At 43.9% G+C, this 22,120-nt stretch overlaps 2 long non-coding RNA genes across 3 annotated transcripts in view, besides 2 other annotated features; one reads left to right on the forward strand and one right to left on the reverse strand.

The window, feature by feature from the left end:
• RNF32-DT (RNF32 divergent transcript) overlaps positions 1–22,120 on the reverse strand; it is a 168,437-nt gene that overhangs the window by 60,270 nt on the left and 86,047 nt on the right. The window lies entirely within an intron of this gene.
• Positions 7,275–7,776: an enhancer, noted in NCBI's record as "H3K4me1 hESC enhancer chr7:156332337-156332838 (GRCh37/hg19 assembly coordinates)". NCBI's record gives its function as "activates a minimal SCP1, AML or CMV promoter by ChIP-STARR-seq in primed H9 embryonic stem cells {active_cell/tissue: H9 hESC(primed)}" and the evidence as "EXISTENCE:reporter gene assay evidence [ECO:0000049][PMID:30033119]".
• Positions 7,777–8,276: an enhancer, noted in NCBI's record as "H3K4me1 hESC enhancer chr7:156332839-156333338 (GRCh37/hg19 assembly coordinates)". NCBI's record gives its function as "activates a minimal SCP1, AML or CMV promoter by ChIP-STARR-seq in primed H9 embryonic stem cells {active_cell/tissue: H9 hESC(primed)}" and the evidence as "EXISTENCE:reporter gene assay evidence [ECO:0000049][PMID:30033119]".
• Positions 8,123–8,733, forward strand: LINC00244 (long intergenic non-protein coding RNA 244). The gene has a single exon (NR_024119.1). It is a non-coding gene; the product is annotated as a long intergenic non-protein coding RNA 244 (long non-coding RNA).

The raw sequence follows: 22,120 nt of genomic DNA on the forward strand, positions 1-22,120 counted from the left end.
CTAGAAGGGACTAGTCCTGTCTGTCAGACCAGGGTCCACTCTGATGACATCATTTAACCTTTATCACCTCCTCACAGGCCCCATCTCCAAACACAGTCACATTGGGGGTTAGGGCACCAACATAGGAATCTGGGGGGTGGGGTACAAACATTCCATCCATAACATGTTCCTCAAATAACACAGACAAGCCTCAGTCCACGCCTTCCAAAATGTACATGAAACTGCAGCTGCTCCAGCCCAACCAGATGACATTTCCCTTTTTTGAAGGATGGGAGCAGCAGCCCATGTGAATGAATGATGAGGGGGCTCAGGCACATTGGAACACAAGGAGGGGAAAACATGGGAAGGGGGTGGCTCTCCCTAGCCCCATGTTCATTTATATGGATGAAAAATCAATAATTTTTTTAATTTTGTTTAAGTACCAGGTTGAATTTACTCTCTCTTCTTACTAAAAGTCATTATAAGAGACTCTTTCCTATCTAATTGCTCATAAGTTTATGAGAGAACTAAAAATCTCTCAATACTTCCAAGGTAAACTACAATTTTAATTATCATTTCTCATAATAATTAAGTCCTTCAGCAAAAAAGAAAATACCATGCTGGTTTTCTAAATGGTGATGACTTCCTCTTCAGTGGTCTTCATTAGCATTTTGTTTTTGGGCTGAGAGGATGGAACAGAGGCCACAACGCAACGCAAACAGTTTTCACTGGGGTGTTATGAGAGGGTTTCACACCTGCAAGTGTAGCTGCAGGACCTGTGTGAGTTACAGCCTCACTTGAAAAGTGCTTTGGGATTAGAATTCAGGATCTCATAGATTTGAGAACAGAAAGGGACCTTGAAGTCCAGGCAAAAATCTTTTGAGGTGGAGAACGCTGCTTCTTTAGGCAGAATCTGAGTCCCTGTGCTAGTTTATCTGTGGGGACAAATGCACAGGAGGTGTGCAAAGGACGCTAGAAATGGGCCCACGGGGCCATCATTCCATTCCTGAGGCCACCACGGCGTCCGTGCCTCATCCTTCCCATCAGCTCTGTGACCTGGCATCCTCTGCCCACCCGTGCTGACCCTCCTCTGTGGCCTGTCCTCCTCTGCCCACCCGTGCTGACCCTCCTCTGTGGCCTGGCATCCTCTTTCCACCCATGCTGACCCTCCTCTGATGGCTCTGTGCCCCTAGGACCACCTCTACAGCCGCATCACCTGGACCCCCGGGACCTCGGGCTGCTAGTCCAGTCCAACGGGAGACACAGGCAGCAGACGACCAAGTGCCGCATCCAAGACTGGGCCTCATGCGAACGGCCCTCCCTGGGCTCCGCACACTTTGTCCCCTCCATGCCAGGCCAGCCCTGGGGAGCAGAACCCTTTCCAGTGCTCTCTGGGTGCCTCAGTTTCTCGTGTCTGTTCCCTAAACTCACCCGTCCCTCTGTAAATGGGCCCTGTATTTGTGTTCTGTCTCGGCCGGACCTCACCTGGGGCAGTGAAGGCAGAAGGAAGAGGGCTCCTCAGACCTGAGTTCCACTCAACAGACCATGTTCTCACTGCTTCATTACAAATAAACCAGGTTCTACATTAAAAAATGTGGCAAAATGCACACAGACCTTATTAATGCAGATCTCTAAGAGAATGAAGAGATCGATCCCGGGATGTGAACTCTTCAAAGCCATGTCTCGGACACTCACAGTCGGCAGCAGTCTCTGCTTTCATAACAATGCCCTTAAGTTGATATATGGTCTGTTACACAAAACCCAGAGAACTGCATAGCGCCACAGCAAGACCAGCTGGCCAAGGCCGACCTGACTCCACCATCCCACTCCCGGCACTGGGCCAGGGCCCAAACAGGAACCCTCAGCCAAGAGGCTTGGCTCCTCAGCTTCCACCTGGACATGTGATTCCCATGTCGGGAAAGACCCTTGTGTCCCTTTAGGGAGTGGCAGTGAGGCCTCAGATCCCACCAGTGTGCCTCTAACAGCCTTTCATTCAACGCAACTGGCCTCAGCAGGTGCAGCAAAGCCAGTGTGGGTCAGAAAGCCTCTCTGCCCAAAAGGTTACAGACCACTTACAAACAAGTTGGTTGTAGACTTGATGAAAATTTTTAAAATGTATTTTTTGAAAATCAAACAAACCTGATACCATGGTGAAATAAAGAAGTTACTACTTCTGGGCTGAAATTAGTCTGCAGGAAAAAAAAAAAAAAAAAAAAAAAAAAGACGATCTCCTGGTTTCTTTACTAGGAAAAGAGACTTTTGCTTGAAGCAATAAGTTTCAGGTTCCTGATTTTCCTGTGAACTCTTTGCAAATCTTTTAAGACTTACCAAGATATTTATGACCAAATACTATTAAGCAATTTAGGAAATGATATGCTATTTACCTTCATCGTTTGTGTTGAGGATTTTCTGAGTGTCTGTGCCTTTGTGTTCCCATCAGAAAGATTCATCAACCGTCAAAGTTTTCAGATCACGGGCTACCTTCATTAGAGTTGGCATGACCCTAGAAAATGCTCTGGCAACAAAACAAAACTTCGCATGAGGCCAAACATAAAGGCAGGTTATGAAAGATGTTTCCTGGGCACGCCTGGAATTCCCCTCATTAGCAGAGAATCCTCCTAATCTGCTTAAAACGTATCATGCTGTATTCCAGAACACCTCCCGATGTTTCCTCTGCCTCGGTGCTTTCTTCTTTTAAGTGTGTTTTCTTTTGAGGCACTAGATTTGAACATGTGACAAGACAGCATCGCCTAGTGGAGACAGAGCATTGGGTAAAATCCAAGACTCCCAAGAGTGACTCGGCTTGTTGACGACTTGACTTTCTCAACTATAAAATGGGGATCATGCATCATCACATTCCGTTTCACAAATACACTATAAAGACAAATTCTGTTCATTGAGGAAGGGCTTCTAACTTCTCAAAGGAAAGGCAAAGTTTGAGTTAGTCAAGACTTCGCTTTGAGAGCTCTGGGGTTGATATCCTCGCTGTTTAGAAGCAGCTTGAAGCTTCAGGTGGAGTGGGGAGGTGTGAGATCGGTAAATGTGGGCTTTTGTATCTTTCCCCTTCAGGACCTGATATCAACAGTCCTCTGCCTCCCAAGTCCTCTTGAGGTGTCAGTGGATGTCAATGCAGCTACTTCTCTGAGATACATAGGGGTCTTTTTGCATTTCACCAGGAAATTGTGGAAAACGTAACATGTGTCTGATACGAGAATTCCAAGGGCTCCCACGGGAGGCTCGGTGAATCTTCAGGAGTCTTCCAGAACAGTCCTCAGTCTAACCCACCTGCAGGACACAGCTCTGTCCTACCTCCCTGGAGTCAAGCCCTTCCTGAAGGAAGCATTCTGGCCTTACCCACAAAATTAAAACTCAAGAATCCAGACAAAGTCAAAAGCCAGATAAACACTTGTAAGTTACTGGGGTAGAAACCCAAAAGAAGAGGCAAAGTTTTGATGGAAGTATTTTTGGCTCAAGGAGGCCCAAATTCCTCCTGCTGCTCAATCATTTGATCTGATTTTGCATCTCATGATTAGACCAGCCCCATCAGTGCACTTCCCATCCATGCAGCATGGAGCCTGTTCTTGCCCTACTTCAGCCTTGTTTTTTTTGTTTTTTGAGACAGTCTTGCTCTGTCACCCAGGCTGGAGTGCAGTGGCGTGATCTCGGCTCACTGCAAGCTCCGCCTCCCAGGTTCATGCCATTCTCCTGCCTCAGCCTCCAGAGTAGCTGGGACTACAGGCGCCCGCCACCACACCTGGCTAATTTTTTGTATTTTTAGTAGAGACGGGGTTTCACTGTGTTAGCCAGGATAGTCTCGATCTCCTGACCTCGTGATCCACCCGCCTTGGCCTCCCAAAGTGCTGGGATTACAGGTGTGAGCCACCATGCCTGGCAAACTTCAGCCTTGTTAAGACCCTCCCCAGGTTTTAGCCTGTTTTCTGCTTCAGTGAGATTCCCTCAACTGTGAGTTTTTTAAGGGTTTATGTTCCCTGTATCTTTTCAAATGATGCTCCTTAATGGAACATTGAAAATCTTCCCCAGAGCAAACTTTCCTCAAATTTGTTTGGTGGAAGAAGAATAATATCTTCCTATTATTCAAAGCAATTCCTTCATTTCAGGACATCTCAGAGATACAAAACTATGTCCCAATGTCAACCTAGCCAGCTGGGTCAGCTCACAGCCTCGGTGACACTGAATCAAAAGTAGAGTTGGAAGTGTGTGAGTTTGATCAGGGAAGTGCCTGTGAGTAAGAGAGAGGGAGCAGGAGCAGGAGGGGAGAGCCTGCAGCTGAACTGCAGACCTGACCTGCTGCAGGATGAGGAAGGAGGCTGGAGGCACAAGGTCCCACAGCTGCCGCACAGCTCGAGAGTCTCTGCCAGCCTGTGCAAAAATGGCACAGAGGGAGCTGTTGGCCTATCATCCAGTAGGACCCCAGCTATGACCACTAGCAAGAATTCTCACTCTTGGGGGACTAGAACTAGCCTTGAAGATACCACAAATGTTTGATTACCACCTTTATAGAGGCTTTAATGTTTTGTAGCATTTGTGTCTCCTCACCACCCTTTCTTTTTTAAAATGTCATGTTTATTCATGGCCATTCTCTTCTGAATACATGGAAATTAGTTAAAAAGAATCTAATACCAGTAGTCACTAAGTAAATGTTCGTTGTTATTATTAGTATTATTTCTTATTAGGTTTATTCCATCAGATGAACAGTGGCAAGAAGAGGAAGCACCAAGTCTCCCAATGGGCCAAGAGGAGGGATGAAAGTGGGGCTACTCCTTTCTCCACCCCTGGTTCCTGGGCTCCCTTGGGAACACAGTGCCACAGAGAGAGCTCAGATTCTGGGCATAGCCTGCCGCCTCACAGAGTACTGCCCTCGAGCTGGGGTTTCAGCCAACACCCCCCAGCTCTATCAGGCCTCAAGCACGTGGACAGGTGCATGATGCTTCCAGTAGGTCCTGTGGCAGGGGCCCTCCTGCCCCTCTGATATGGTCTGGCTGTGTTCCCACCCAAATCTCATCTTGAATTGTAGTTCCCATAGTTCCCACGTGTCATGGGAGGGACCCAGTGGAAGGTAATTGAATCATGGGGGCGGGTCTTTCCTGTGCTGTTCTCGTGATAGTGAATAAGTCTCACGAGACCTGATGGTTTTGTAAGGGATAGTTCTCCTGCACACACTTTCTTGTCTGCCACCATGTAAGATGTGACTTTGCTCCTCCTTTGCCTTCAGCCATGATTGTAAGGCCTCCCCAGCCACGTGGAGCTGTGAGTCCATTAAACCTCTCTCCTTTATAAATTACCCAGTCTCGAGTGTGTCTTTATTAGCAGCGTGAGAACAGACTAATACACCCTCCCTCCCTGTGATTCCCTGAGGTTCCATTAGAGTCCCTGCCTGTGCCCCTGATACTCAGACAGTGGTATTGCCTGAAGCTTTGAAGAAGGAACAGAAAACCAGCACCCAGGATGGGTGACTGCTACCATGAGGCCAAGCTGCCATTCCTCCCAGACAGAAAGGGTGCAATAAAGCCAGTTTGTCTCCAGGTGGTCAGAGGTCCCTTGAGGAACAGAGTCACATCAGGGGCTCACCCATGACTTTTCTTGCTGGCTGTTGGAACATCAGCCACCAAATTCACCTTGGCAAACAGGAATTCCTGCTAGTGGGGCCACGAATAGCCCCTATCTCTGCCACTGCATGCTTCATGGCAGCTCTTACCTTGCACGGCTAAGGTCCCAGAGTGTGTGTTTTCAGGGGGCCCAGCTCTGTGGGTTCTCTACTACTCACCTCAACCACTGCCACTCAATCTCCAAAGCTTCCGTTATTATCTATATGCCAGTAACTCCAAAATCTATATTTCCTTTCAAGACTGGTCTCCTGAAACTCAAACACACATGTCTAGCTGTCTATTACATGTCTCCACTTGGGTATTCCAGAGCACTTCAAACTCAGCATGTCGAAGAATGAACACATGAGCTTCTCCACCCAGCCTGCTTCTGCACCTTTCCTGTCTTGGTGAATTGCACCACTACTCCCAGCTGCCCAGCTCCTCCCTCTTCCAGAACCTCATGTCCCATCCTTCACAAACTCTTGAATATTTCTGTGTGTTCATGATCTGCACGTTAACCCAAGCCACCACTGGCTTTCCTGGACTACAGTAATTTCCTGGCTGGTCTTTCTGCCTGCAGTATAATCCACCTCCAAGTCACTTTCCATTTTGCAAATGAGTGATAATTCAATGACATTTGCCTATTTAAAACAGTTCGAGAGATGATAGCTAAAGTCATTCATCGAGGGGTAAAGTCCCTTTATGGTGTAGTCAGAATGGAGAAAAGTCTGGGAATCAGAATTAATGAAAAGTGGCTGAGCTGAAATGAAATGTGTGGCCCAGAGAAGATTTGGGGGAGACCATGAGAGTATTTTTCCATTTTTTATGGCCTGATGTTTTTTACATTTTTACCTCATCTAAATGTAATTCATTTGGGAGAATAAAGTCAGCATCTAAGTTGACCTTTTAAGACAATATTTAAAATTAGTAGCCAACTGCAACATATAGAATATATGACATTTTCCTTTACATAATATAAAGATAAATAAATTCAAAATGAGCACTTGTGAGACTCTCTGATTTTGAACTTATTCTCCTGAACAGATACCACAAATGTTTGATTACCACCTTTATAGAGGCTTTAATATTTTGTAGCATTTGTGTCTCCTCACCGCCCTTTCTTTTTTAAAATGTCATGTTTATTCATGGCCATTCTCTTCTGAACACATGGAAATTAGTTAAAAAGAATCTAGTACCGGTAGTCACTAAGTAAACGTTCATTGTTATTATTAGCATTATTTCTTATTAGGTTTATTCCATCAGATGAACTTTAAAATCATTCTGGCAATCTCAAAAACATGAAGAAGAGGAAGCTTAATCCCATTTTCATTGATTATTTTAGTCCTAACAATTAATTTTAGGAAAACTGCCATCTCCATAGTATTCATCTCCCACTGCATCAACATGGAATGCTTCTCCATTTATTCTGTTTCTATCTTTTCTTAAAATAAATGATTGCTTTCCTCTAATATGTTCTATACTTTCCTTCTTAATATTATTTTAGGCAGGAAAATCTTTGGCTTCAATAAACAAGAAAAGCCACTCAAATTAACAAGAAAAAGAGATTTTATTGTAGAATATACCTCATGGAACTCAAGGAATTCAAAGACAGAACACACAATATAGACAAGCACCCCAGGGGCTGGAACAAGATAGCCAGGGCCAAAGCTCTTCTCTCTCTCTCTCTCTCTCTCTCTCTCTCTCTCTCTCTCTCTCTCTTCCCCTCCCTCCCCCTGCTTCTCTCTCCCTCTCTCTATCTCTTTCTCTCTCTCTCTCCCCTCTCCCTCCCCTCTCTCTCCCCTCCCTCCTCCTCCTTCTCTCTCTCTCTCTGTCCCTCTCTCTCTCCCCACCTCTCCCCTTCTTCCCCCTCCACCCAGCAACACACACACAACGTCTCAGTCTCTGCTCTGCTTGGTGAATCCACTCTGGTCCTGAGTGTCTCTCTTCAGACCAGCTTCTCGGCTTGCTCGAGGTGTCTGCTTCTCTGTGAATTTAGTTGGCACGGGGATTTGATTTGTTGTGGTCCATTTTCCCACCAACTCTGCATGAATTTTCACCTCCGTGCCACGCCCCCCCACCATCACCACTGAACTAGCCTGTATAGTCTCTGTGTCTCTTCATTCAAATTCAGCAGAGAGAGAATTGGTGGCAGGTGTGGGTCAGCCACTTCGCTCCGGGACCCATCGGTTTGGGACATGAGGGAGGTGCAGGAGAGCCGCCAGGCAGCAGTGTGGTGTCTGCATCATGTGACGCCGAGGTCGCCCCTGCCAGGGCAACGCACAGGCGGCAGGGCCCTTAAAAGTGCAGTCAATAGGTCTGAAAATGATAGACGTGGCTAATGGCATTCCTAGACATCACACAAAGATTTATCATAGCAGGATTTATCTTTCATTGTATTACCCACAAGTTGTTCCCAAATATAGTAATAATCTTGACATCTGTGTAGTTATTACACATCCAGCAATCAAATTCAATCATTTTTAACTTGATTCCTTTTAGAACTTTCAGTCCTAATATTTAAAATACTGATTCCTTTTTTCCTCCATTTTAAAATTTTATTCTAGTTACCACATTGTTCTTGCAATTGCTTGGATTTTTCAGAATAGTAATAAATAATAACGGGAATCCTAGGCATTCGTGTTTTTCTATGTTTTTAACAGGATTTTCTCTAATGTTTCGCTATTAAATACCATGCAGGAAATTGGGAAATAATATCACAACCCAAGGTAAATGGAGCTAACAGCATAGATGGGACAAGCTAAGACATGAGGACCAGCTTGCGACTCCAGACCTGGGAAGACCCCATGAGAAGCAGGGAGAGGGTGGGGGCAGTCATGGGCAGGCTGGGAAACTCCCTCTGCTCACTGAGCCTGTGGGAGCAGGCCCCTGGAGACCCCAGGTTTCACATAGTAGCCACACGAAGCAGAAAGTCAGAAGCACAGAAGGCTTCTTCCCAAGGTGGTGTGGCAGGCCAGGAAGCAGGTGGCAGGGCGCTGGCATGAAGGCCAGCCAGAGAGCAGAACGCCAAACACCAGCCCCTGGGGTTCCACTGGCATCACCAGCTCCCGCCGTGCTAAGTGGAATTTTCAGGTGGAGGAGAGTTGGGAAAGGATAGAAGTGATATGCTATGGAAATCCTTACATTGTATGCTATTATGAAGTTGAGTTTTAAAACATTATAATGTGCTATTAGAAAAAAATCCTTTTTTATAGTCATTATTCTTCTATGGTCATATCTTTTTATTTTGTTGATGGGCTTAAGCCAGCTTAGTTGGTTCTAATGTGATTTGATTAGCACTATACTATAGCCTTTCTCAACGAATTACAACCTCCTAGAACAACAGCCGTGGCTTCATGGCTTTTACATTCTTCACAGCAGCTACTATTTGGCTGTGTCTATGATAGGTACTCAATAAATACTTACCGAATACAATCAAAAATTCTAAAAAGTATTGATACCCGGAACCTACTACTAACCTCGATCATTCTCTCATAACTCCTTCCTATTGGCATCAAGTGCAACGGCGGCCAAGAGAATGTGAATAGGCTGATACCAACCACTCTCCGTCCCAATTCAGAAAACATCAGCCTGTAACACAGTGTGACCCAGGAAACATGCCAGAGTGTGTGTGTGTGTGTGTGCATGCGCGCGTATGTGCACGTGTGCAAGTGAAAGTAAATGCTGATTTTGTTTATAGGATTTTCATTTTTGTTGAAAAGGGAAATGGGGAAAGGATGGCCCTAAAAGGCTAAAGCATAAAAGCTTGTAAGCGAGCCCTTGAGGCTTCACTTACAGTAAACTTATTTCTACTTTACATATCATTTTAATAATCCTGGGGTTTGTCAAGTTTTTACATCGAATGTTTTATATAATAAATATCACTCATTTTTAAAATAAAATCAAAATCCAAAACCATCCACCATCTACAATTCTTTTGCAAGAACTGGAATGTGTGCTGCAAAGGAAACGATCGACAGAGTGAGGAGGCAAACCACAAAATGAGAAAATATCCGTAAACCATCCATCTGGTGAGGGGCTAAACATCCAAAATACATGAGGAACTCAAGCTACCCTGCAGCAAGAAAACAAAGAACCTGATTACAAAATGGGCAAAGGATCCAAACAGACACGTCTTAAAGGATGAGATGCACACAGCCAACAGGTACATTAAAGATGCACAACTTCTCAAGTCAGCAGGGAGGTGCACATGAAAACCACTGGATATCACCACGCGCCTGTTAGAAGGTTATTACGAAAAACACAAATGGCAAGTGTTGGCAGGGATGTAGGGAAGGGGGAAGCTTGCACATTGTGTGTAGGAATGTAAACTAGTACAGCCATTTTGGAAGACAGCATGGAGGTTCCTCAAAAAGTTAAAAGTAGCACTACCATACAATCCAGCAATCCCACAGCGGGGGAAAGACCCAAAGGAAATGAAATCAGTATGCAGAAGGGATACCTGCATTCTCAGGTTTATTGCAGCACTATTCACAATAGTCCAGATTTGGAATAACCTAAGTGTCCATCGACAGATGAATGTATAAGAAATCGTGGTATATGGCCGGGCATGGTGGCTCACGCCTGTAATCCCAGCATTTTGGGAGGCTGAGGCGTGCAGATCACGAGGTCAGGAGATCAAGAACATCCTGGCTAACATGGTGAAACCCCGTCTCTACTAAAAATACAAAAAATTAGCCAGGTGTGGTGGCGCACACCTGTACCCCCAGCTACTCTGGGGGCTGAGGCAGGAGAACCGCTTGAACCCAGGAGGTGGAGGTTGCCGTAAGCCGAGATCACACCATTGCACTCCAGCCTGGGCAACAGAGTGAGACTCCGCTCAAAAAAAAAATCGTGGCATATATACGCAATGGGATATTATTCAGCCTTAAGAAAATATAAAAGGAAATTCTGTCATTTGCAACAATAAGGATGAACCAGGAGGACATTATGCTAAGGGAAATATCCAGGCACAGAAAGAAATACTGTGTGACCTCACTTACAGTGAAATTTAAAAAGTCAGTCTCATAGACACTGGAAGCAGAAAGGTGATTTTTGCCCCAGAGGCTGTGGTGGTGGGGAGAGGACGATGCTGATCCAAGGTCTCCCTTCGCATGGAGGAAGAAGTTCTAGTGATCTAATGTGCTTCATGGCAACCACAGTTAATAATAACATACTGTATATTTCAAAATTGCTAAAAGAATAGATTTTTAACATTCTTATCACATACAAAAAAATAAGTTGGTGAGGTGATGGATATGTTAATTAGCTTGATTGAATCTTTCTACAATGTATTACCTAGATCAAAACATCACAGTTTACCCCAAAAGTATACACAATTATTTGTCAATTAAAAACAATATGTGGCCAGGCACAGTGGCTCACACCTGTAATCCCAGCACTTTGGGAGGCCGAGGAGGGCAGATCACCTGAGGTCAGGAATTCGAGACCAGCCTGGCCAACATGGTGAAACTCTGACCCTACTGAAAAATACAGAAACTAGCTGGGTGTGGTGACGGGTGCCTGTAATCCCAGCTACTTGGGAGGCTGAGGCAGGAGAATCGCCTGGACCCGGGAGGTGGAGGCTGCAGTGAGCCAAGATGGTGCCACTGCACTCCAGCCTGGGCGACAGAGCAAGACTCCATCTCAATAGTAATAATAATAATAATAATAATAATAATAATAATGTAAAAAGTAATGTCTATTAAAAAAGTAGGGTAAGTACACTTTTGATGAAGATTTTTGTTTGATTAAACAAAGAACTAGAATGTGTTTGGGACTAGAGGTGGAATAAAACATTATTTTCTCAGGTTGATTTTTCACTCACAGAATCAGGAAGGCATTCCAATTCATTGAAAGGAGAGGCAGAGTGGGCGAACCTGCACCGGGCACGCGCACATGTGAGAAGCGCTGCCTGTGGCCGCTGGGAGGCTGCGCCATGGCCCGCTCCGGAGAGCTGCGAGGTGGCTCTGCGAGGTTTGGCTGGAGCTGGGCAGCGAGGCCTGCCCACGGGTGGGAGAGCCGCCGACCCGTCATGTTTGCTTCTCCCGCGCGCAGCCTCATGGGCCTGCGGTGAGATTTATGGTATCTATTATTGAGTTGTAGATCAGCCGAGATATTGCATGTCAGTGTAAACACCTTTTCACACTCTTCACCATATAACTTGTCATTTTTAATCTCCTACATTGATGTTAAACATCTCCTTACCATCAAACTGTAAATACAGCATGGACCATTTTTCTACGTGACTAAAAAGAGTGATTGAAGAGCTGATTAAAAAAAAAATTCCTTGATTTATTTCACCCGAGTTTCCTCAGAAATATGCTATGATTTATGTCCTAGCAGAGGCTGTCTGATTAGTTCACTCTGGGCTAAAAAGGCAAACCATTAAAGGCATTAAAATTTCAACAAGAACGTTATCTCCACAGTCAGCACAATAGTGACATCTTGTGCCTAGGAACTCGGGAGATAGCACAGCCCTGCCACTTCTCGGGTCAAACCTGGGGCCCCAGGAACCAGCACACGGCCAACCGCGCACAAAGACTAAACTATTTAAAACGTTGACGGTTCCTCCATAGACGGACGGACTCCAGCAAGGGAGGCTGCTTTTTGAGTTAGACTTTCCATGTGCAGAACACAACTGGGTGGTCCTAGCGCCTTTTCTCATCATACAAGAGAGTCTGCAGCTTCCAGGCGTTCCAGGGCCAGGGTTCCAGCCCCACTCAGGCCAACTTTAAATCACGAGCCCATTCTTCTTCTGTAAAGTAAAGGCCTCAAGTCTGAGGTCAAACTTTTCATATTTACAGTTCTTGGATTATTTTCATTAGGAAGACTATTAAAAGGAAATAGAAAGCCTGTCGCATTGTCAGTTAACACATTTTGTATCACATTAAGACAAAGACAGTGCCTCTCTGTCTCAAGGCGTCCTCGGTTAACACTAACAGTTACCTGTAGGCACAGACCCAGGCAACCACAGAACTCCAGCACAGCACACAGAAGGCGCTTCCGTGGCTCCCACACACCTGAAGGTCAGCTAGGGGTCAGCCGATCTAGGCTGGGTTCAGCTAGAGCAGCTCACCTCTGCTCCTCCAGTCTCTTCCTGGGAAGAGTGGGCTATCCTGGGCCAGGTCCCAACTCAAAGGAAGTGGGCTATCCTGGGCAAGTCCCCAACACAAAGGAAGAAGTGCAAGAGGCTGGGGGAAAAAAGGCCTCTGAGTTCTAGGCTTATGCCCCGTTCCATACGTCAATGCAACTCACACATCTGAATCCAAAGTCCAGGGCAGGAAAATGCAAAGCACCCCTTCAGCAGGTGGAGCTGCAGAGTCACATGTGTGAAGTCATGTGAATAACCCGAAGTCTAAGGAGGAGTAAAGGAGGGAACAGGAAGGCAATCTACCACTCCACACTGGGAGAAAAGTGAACGGAAATGCAGAGACCCCATCTGCATTTCCATTGTTCCTTGCACAGTAAACGCTCCAACCAACCCAACTACCAGAACCCACTTATTTGATTTAATTTAATAAGTATTTGTTTTGACTCTGTCTGACCAAGCCTTGGTGGTAGGCCAGAATCGGGGAACTGGTTTACCCACCTCCTACTCAGGCCTCTGGACATGCACCGCCTGGCCAGAGATCACACCAGGTAATACGGGGGCATATGCATTCAATACTAATGAGGCTTCCTGCTCATTACACAGAACACCAGAAAACACACACAAGATAAGTACAGGTTTCATTCAATCACTCTTTGAAAACACATCATCAAATTCAAATGAGTAAAGCAAACAGGTGTGTATTCCGAAGTAAAAAAAATTAAAAATTTTCTTTTTATAAAGAACTTTAGCATAAAAACCTGGATGTGAGAAACCTGGGAATACCTTAGTCAACAATTTGGATATAAAATTATTTTTAATTTGTTGGCACTGAGGTAATATTTTTTTTCTCAGTATGATGGCCTTTTTATCCAAGCATATATTTGTGAATTTTGTGTTAGACTTATTCTATATCTGACACATTTCGTGAATGGGCCGGAAAGGTCTCCTGACATCAGTTACAGGCCTGAGAAAACTCATTACTACAGCGTTTTAACAATTTTAAATTCAGGTGTTCCCTGTAGAGTAACAGATGAAATGCACACAGGATCTCTTGGGGAGGAGACTGAGAAACGTGGCACAAAGCTGTTGTTGCCCAGGAAACAGACACAGCAGCAGAAAACCACGGGAGGGCTGCCTCCCGGTCCGTCATCATTGGAAAGCCTCCTGTGCTGCAACTGCTGTCCTTCCAGCAGTTAGAAATCACGGAAGTGAACACGGATGATGATGAGGATGAAGGGAAGGGGTGGCTGCACGGCGAGATCTCTCATCCATCAGAAACTGGGTCTTCTCCAAGCTCTGAAAGACTCTCTTGGAGGTGCATGTTGCACTAAGGAGCAAAGTGACAACATCCAAAATGTGCTTTTCTCAGTTCAGCAGAGAAGTTGTACACACATCAGTTCAACATGGCAAGAACGCTCACCAACGATTATCTGCACCCGTGTGCTCCTCACAGCATTCTTCAACCTTCCTGCTGCGCTTGAGCCTTTTCCAAACAAAAACGTTTAAAACATTCAAAAATAAATAAATGTCCTCTTGCGGGCTTCTTGCCAAGATGTCATTATAGCATCAGTTTTGAGGTTCCCTCTCAGGCCCAAACATTTACCATGACAGATAAAATCTACCAACCACACCACCCCCCGCCCCACCCCCTGCCAAAAAAAAAAAAAACATGATCAAGCTCAAATTTAGCTAAATAACTCTATGAACCAAAGGTGATACAAAAATGGAAAGCTGGCTGAGCATGGTGGCTCACACCTGTATTCCCAGCACTTTAGGAGGCTGAGGTGGGTGGATCACTTGAGGCTAGGAGTTCAAGACCAGCCTGGACAACATGGTGAAACCTCATCTCTATTAAAAATACAAAAATTAGCTGGGCGTGGTGGTGCATGCCTATGATCCCAGCTACTCAGGAGGCTGAGGCAGAAGAATTGCTTGAACCCAGGAGGCGGAGCTTGCAGTGAGCCGAGATGGCGCCACTGCACTCCAGCCTGGCAACAGAGCGAGACTCCATCTCAAAAAAAAAAAAAAAAAAAAAAAAAAAAAAAAAAAAAGGAAACCTGAGAGTAGTGGAGTTTGAAAACAGCACGACAACCATGACACAGCATCCCCGAGGTACCAGGTAAACCAGGCTCACAGACGAGCAGGGCCAGAGGAGGGTCCGACCCGTTTAACGCAGCCAGCAACATTAACACTAGAACCAGAGCGGGAAAATGCAGGAAAACGTCACTTGCCATCCCTGCTCTTGCTCACACACGCAAGAATTCCAAACTCAATATTAGCACATCAGCCGTGTATACAGATCATTTATCATGGCAACGTGGGATTTAACCCAAGAGTGAAAATGGTTCAACACCAGAATATCTACAAAGTAACTACTAAGTTAACCTAACAGATTAAAGAAGAAAAGACATATGCTCTCCTCAGTTGATTCAGAAAAATCATTTTATAAAATTAACAATCATTCATGTGTTTAAACAATATACAAAATAGAAAGGAACTTTCTTAACCTGACTTTTTTTTTTCCAAAAAAAAAAAAAAAAAAAAGGGTCGGGGGAAGAATCAAAAACTCACAGCAGGGCATGATGAAATTTCAGCTCACTGCTAGGTGCCTGTCTAATTCTTCAAATCAGTATAGGGTTGCTTTTCCCTTGCAGCTTCCAAGAGGACAGTTATTTATTATTGATGTTTTAAATTTTTTTTATTTGGAAAAAGCTCAAGTTGCTGATGTAGGAGGTTGCTTGTGGTGAGCCAGTGCTCCTGCCAATATTAAACAGAAAATCTGGGGAAAAAAAAAAAAAAACACCCCGAAGATCTGTTTGAAAGCATTGAAGCACCACAGAGACCACAGGACTTGAAACGGCCAAACCACGGAGAAGGGTAAGCTCCCCAGAGAGGGGGCCACGTCCTGCAGCTTCTCCCATCAAGCCTGATATAGAGCGAGACTGCGGTCTGCACAAAGGGCCGGTCCTGAGGCCACGACTGAGAGGCAGAGACCCCACCCAGGCTTCGGCAGGCTCATGTGGATGGAGAACTAAAATGAGAGACTCGAGGGACCAGGTTCCCCCTGAGAAGGGGAGGGATAAACCAGTCCTGGCGGGTGTCAGCATTTTCCTTCACACATACGCTGCCTTATGAGGCTGCAAGGGGTGGAAAGGCACCAAGCCAAAAAGAAAGCCCCAAGCCACAGTAGCGAATGTTTAGCAAGTTCTAGAAAAATCAAGGCTTGGAGATTAGCACCTGCCGAGAAGAGGAGCCTGCTGATCCCCACGGCCTTTGGCTGAGACCCCAGGAGGGGAGAGGCACACAGAGCCCAGCTGACGGCCCAGCCTCAAGTCAGCTTAGACCACAGCGAGGGAAAGGCAACCATCGCCTCCTTGATCTGCCTCGCACAGAAAGCATGAACCCTCTCTGGGAGCAGACAACACCCAGAGATCTCACAACTGTTCATATACAAGGTCTAGAATTCAGGGCGGGCAGGGGAATTCCAGGCACATTAACGTGACAGAACTCAGTGACCAAAAGTCAGGGGAAACAAGTCAACAGAAATACACCCACCTTTGATGCACATATTGAAATTACCGGGTAAGGAATTTAAAATAGTTTATGGATATGTTCAAGGAAATGATGGGGAAAATAATGAAAAATGGGAAATCTCACCAGAGAATTGACATCTATTAAAAAGAACCAAATGGGAATTTTAGAACTGGAAAATACAATAATTGAAATTAAGAACTCAACAGATGGGTTTAACAGCAGATGATACCCAGCAGAAGAAAGGGTCATGAACTAGAGTCCAGGTCAATGGAAAATGTCGCGACTAAAGCACAGAGAAGAAAAGGGTGGGGACTGCAGAAGACAGCATGATAGGCCTGCTGGACTTCAGGGAAATGACCTAACATGCCTCAAACTGCAGATCCAGAGAGAAACCAAAGCCAGAGTACAGAAAAACCACTGTTTAAAGAGATCATCGGTAACATTTTCCAAAACTAATGAAAGACATCATCAAGGCAAGCCATACATTTATAAAGTTCCACAAATTCCACCAGGATAAATAGAGGGTAAAGACATGAAACCCTCCACACATACTCTGACAGGTAAAAGGTTTAGCCTGCAGCAAAAGCCTGCGGAAACCAACAAGCCACAGCCTGGGATTTTTGCAACCCCTGAAACCAACGAAAGGTGAAAAACCACATTATATATTTTTAAAGCTGAAAAATCGATTTTTAAAAGACAGGCAAATCACATTCTTATCCAAGTCTGGGAGGCCTCACATGACTGGACCAAGGACCGAGAGCACCTGCCATCGCATCCATCTGCCCGCACACCGCCCAGTCCCCTCCTGGGCTCCTTCTCTCCCAGTACTTGGCTGGAAGCAGCAAGAAGACACCAGGACTCACCAAAGCCTTTCTTCTTCCCAGAACTGCCTCTCCTGGAACAATGGGTTCCACAAGCCACAGCCTCCTGTCCGGGTTCCAGACCATGTGGGTAACACTTCCACCAAACGTCTTCCCAGGACTTCACAAGACCATCATATTCACAGCCCACAATGTCTGTTTCTTCATGCTTGCCCCTGGCTGCTGGGCCAACGCACATTTTGTAAGGTTTTATTACAGCAGATCCCCATCCGCAGGCTCACGTTTCTGATGAGGTTACTGACCCCAAATACAGCGAGATGAATGAGCTATCAGTGTACATCATGCTCATGTCACAGTCCAGAGCTCCGCAGTAGGTACATGACAATGGCATGATGCTGCTGGAGGTCCAGGCTGGCCCGGCGGCTCTGCCATGCTGGGCGCATGGCTGTCTCTGGGTGGAGGCTACAGCTGTCTCCACATCCTACCAGCCGAAAGGAAAAGCAGGCATCCAGGCAAGATGTCACCTCTACCTTCTCACCAGCCCAGACAGTCATATGGCTACACCAGTTGCATGTGTGTCTTAGAAACGCAGTCAGCTTTCCAACCACTGCAGATACCAGAAGGATGAAGAGAGGTGGAAGGAGTCCACATGAAGTACCATGGGGCTGATTCTTCCATCCCACAGTCATATCCCCTCCCCAGGAGGCTGCCTGAGGAGAGATGGGCTACACAGATCAAGGTTTTGACTCCTCCAGGCTCACGGCCACTGCCCCTCTCCTCCTCGTCTACTGATCCATCTCTTTCTGCCACCAGGACAAAGTTATTTCAGGGACTTACCTCTTCTGACCCTTGACTTACTTCGGTGCCAACTTGCTAAGCCCTGACAGATCTCCCCAGCCCCAAATCCAGGGAGGAAAAGGCTGAGGTGCTGGTTCCCCCACACCAGGAGACCCTGGACTCCTTCTACTATATAGTAACCCCCTTCCCCAGGCCCTGCATTCTCAAGGAAGAGCTGAGTGGATGTGTCCGACTGAGGTCCTGAATGTTAATTTTGCCAAGGTGGGGGTTAATTAAGAGACATCAATTTATAAGGCAACGTAGATTTCCTCTATGGCAATCTCCTGCATCTATCCATAAAGAAAAGCAACTAGCACATCTTTTCTCTACACACACACACACACACACACACACACAAACACACACCCGCCCCACGCTGAGGCATTCCATTACACACTGTATGCCACCCAAGGACGTGAAAGAAGACTTAAGAGCATTTACACCTGTTGTTCCAAAATTCAGCTGTCTAAAATATCAGTTCTCCTTAAATTAAAAACATCATTTTTATCCAAATCTTAATGAAGTTATTTTAGGAATTTGAAAAAAAAAAAGATTTGAAAATTCTTCAGGAATCTTATATACATACAAAAAGAAGAGCAATTAGGGAAAGTGGTGCCAGCAGATAATAAAACCACACATTGGAACAGTCTAGAACAGGCGGAGGAAATACAGCTCCCTGAGACTGACATCAAAGCAGAAACCATACATATTGGTTGACATGAAAATGTGAAACGTCTGCATGCCAAAAAGAAAACACTGTTTATTGATGAAAATGCAAATAGTCATATAACTATATTGAAAGGGAAGGCCTGGTGATACAAAATCATTAAATCCTCATCAATCATAGGAGGAAGTGGAAAGACATTGTCCAAATTGCTAAAATCAAGGAGCTGCAGAATACTCGGATAGCAAGGACTGGGGGAAAGGGAGTGTTACCTCAGCACTGGGAGAAGAAGGTTTGCTCATTCACCGCTGGAAGTGTGAGAAGTATGGCTTGTTACCATTTTCTTCACTAAATCTAGCAACATATAGAAAAGCATATATCCATCTATTTTTCTATCTTTTCCTATCCCAAAAAGCAAAACGCACCTTATATAAGTACTCGATGTGTACAAACACGAGGGTCTTATAAGCCTAGTTTTAAGTGTCCAAAAAAGAATCGAAAGTAAAATAAAACTGGGTCTGAGATGACAGATTCTGGCACAATGCCATGGCATCTACTACACAGAATGAGACAGAACTATGCCAATGGGCTTCGGGGAATTTCTGTGTCTATTTTTTTTCATTCCATATTTATTATAAGAAATTTATATGCCGGGCACAGTGGCTCACACCTGTAATCCTAGCATTTTGGGAGGCTGAGGCAGGTGGATCACTTGAGGTCAGGAGTTCGAAACCAGTCTGGCCAACATGGTGAAACCCCATCTCTACTAAAAATACAAAGAAGTTAGCCAGGCATGGTAGCACACACCTGTAATCCCAGCTACTCAGGAGGCTGAGGCAGGAGAATCACTTGAACCCGGGAGGCAGAGATTGTAGTGAGTGGAGATCGCACCACTGTACTCCAGCCTGGGTGACAAGGAGACTCTGTCTCAAAAAAAAAAAAAAAGAAAGAAAGAAATTTATGTAAGCATAAGAAAAAATAAGATGTAGTGAAATGCTTATAATATGAATGTACTTCTATAAAAGAATGAACTAAAAAATACATACACCAGCATATTAAGTGTGCATAGAGAAATAGATGAAAGTTTACACACTATAGTTTTCATAATTTTGGTGTGGCGCTGAGAGAGAATTTTAGAGGGATATTAAGATGCAAAATGAACAGGGAAGTAGAAGAAAAAATATGAAGTTGCATGAAATAATTTCATCTGCATAAAATGATACAAGTTTGAATCTCTCCCGAATGCTGATGTTTGTTATCACAGGTGGTGCATATCTAGGTGAAATTCACTTTCTCCTAATACTTTTGTCCAAATGTTTTACAAGGAAGATGTCTTACAATATTATACTATGATGTAATCAGAAAATAGTTTTGGGTGTGCAAGACATATGAATCAAATTGAATCCAAAGTAGAAGAAAATAAAGAGTTAAAAACAAACAGAAAATAGACAGACAATAAAGGAAAATCAGGGTTTTTTTGAAAGATCAGTAAAATTTATTAATTTTAGTTAGAAAAAAGAGAAAACACAAATTGCCTATACCAGGAATAAAAGAGGAAATTTCATGATAAATATTACAGATATAAAATAGATAACAGGGGACTAGTATGAACTACCTTATCAAAATGATTCAACAATTTAAGTAAAAATGATGATCTCTGTGAAACACACAAATTACCAACTTAAGAATAAATAAAATGTAAAGAGATGCAAAAAATAAACTGATTTAATAATTTAAAGCCTTCCATAAACTTAAGCACAAAAAAAGAAAAAAACAAACAAAAATTAAAAAATAAAGCCTTCCTACAAAGCCTTTCTACAAACTCCCAGACCTACAAAACTTCGGTAAATTCTATCAAACCTTTAAGAAAGTAGATAAAGGAAACAGAACCACTTTCCAACTCAATTTTGTGAAACCAGTTATTCCCTGAAATCAAAACCAGAAATATCATTACAAGAAAAAACTACAGACTATATCCCTAGTTTAAGTGTAGCCAAATATTAGCAAATTTAATTCAGCAATATATAAAGGGGTAGGAAAAAAGAGTAATACACTGCTGGCCAATATCAATATCAAAAATAATAATAAGCACTTAGAAAACTAGAAACAGAAGGGTCCTTCTTCTACCTGCTTGGACATGTCTAGGTGAAGCCCACAGCTATCATAATGTTGAAAAACTGAATGCCTTCCCCTTAACACTGGCAACCCCAGGCAAGGAAACCGTTGGTACCACTCCTAATCAATATCATCCTGGAGGTGGTAGCCACTGCAGTCAGGCAAGAAAGAGAAATTAAAGGCACACAGATTGAAAGTTTAAAAGAAAATTCTTTATTTGCAGATGACATTATTGGATATGTAAGAAATCGTGGAAAATCTATAAGGAAAAATAAACAAGTGAGTTTAGCAAGGTCTCAGGATATAGGGATAGCATACAAAAATCAATTTTGCATCTCTATACACAATAAACAATTAAAATTTTAAAGTTTTTAAATGCCATTTATAAGAACATCCAAAAATCTGAAGTACCTAGAGATTAATCAGTACAAGTCTTGTACTTTGAAAGCTCTAAGAGATCACTTAGAGTAGTTAAAGAAGAACAAAATAAATGGAAAACTGTACTGTGATCATGAACTGGAGGGCTTAAGATGGCAATTCTGTCCAAATTGATGAATGGATTCAATGTTATCCCAATCAAAATTCCAACTTTTTAAAAATTATCAAGTTGATTCTAAAGTTTATAAGGAAATGTAATGGACCTACTTTACAAAAGAACTTATACTACCTGATTTCAATACTTACTATAAAGCTATAATAACCAAGACAGTAGGGTAATGATGTTAAGTATAGCCATACGGATCAAGGAAACATAACAGAGTTCAGAGAACACACTAAGATGGCCAATTGGTTTCCAACCAGTGGGCTAAAGCAATTCAATACAGAAAAAAAAATCTCTTCAAGAAACGATGCTGAAATAACTGGATATCTGACCTTACCTCACCCCATAAAAATTAATTCAAAATGAATAGACCTGAGCCTAAACTAAATTCACATCTCTTCTAGAATACATAAGATAACATAATTATGATCTTTGGTTAGGCAAAGAAGTTTTAGTAAACACAAAAAGCTTATATATTTTTTTTCCTTTTTTTTTTTTTTTTGAGATGGAGCCTCCCTCTGTTGCCCAAGCTGGAGTGCAGTGGCTCAATCTCTGTTCGCTGCAACCTCCACCTCCCAGGTTCAAGTGATTCTCCTCCCTCAGCCTCCTGAGTAGCTGGGATTACAGGCACGCGCCACCACACCCAGCTAATTTTTTTTGTATTTTCAGTAGAGACGGGGTTTCAGCATGTCGGTCAGGTCGGTCTCAAACTCCTGACCTCGTGATCCACCCGCCTTGGCCTTCCAAAGTGCTGGGATTACAGGCGTGAGCCACCATGCCCGGCCAAAAAGCCTATATTCTAAAAGAAAAAATATGATAAATTGGACTTCATCAAAATTATAAATTTTTACTGATCAACAGACATTGTTAAGAAAACAAGGCAGAAAACCACAGATGGAAGAAATTGTTCTCAATACATATATCTGATAAAGA

Source organism: Homo sapiens, chromosome 7 (assembly GCF_000001405.40).
Source record: "Homo sapiens chromosome 7, GRCh38.p14 Primary Assembly".
Lineage (NCBI taxonomy): Eukaryota > Metazoa > Chordata > Mammalia > Primates > Hominidae > Homo > Homo sapiens.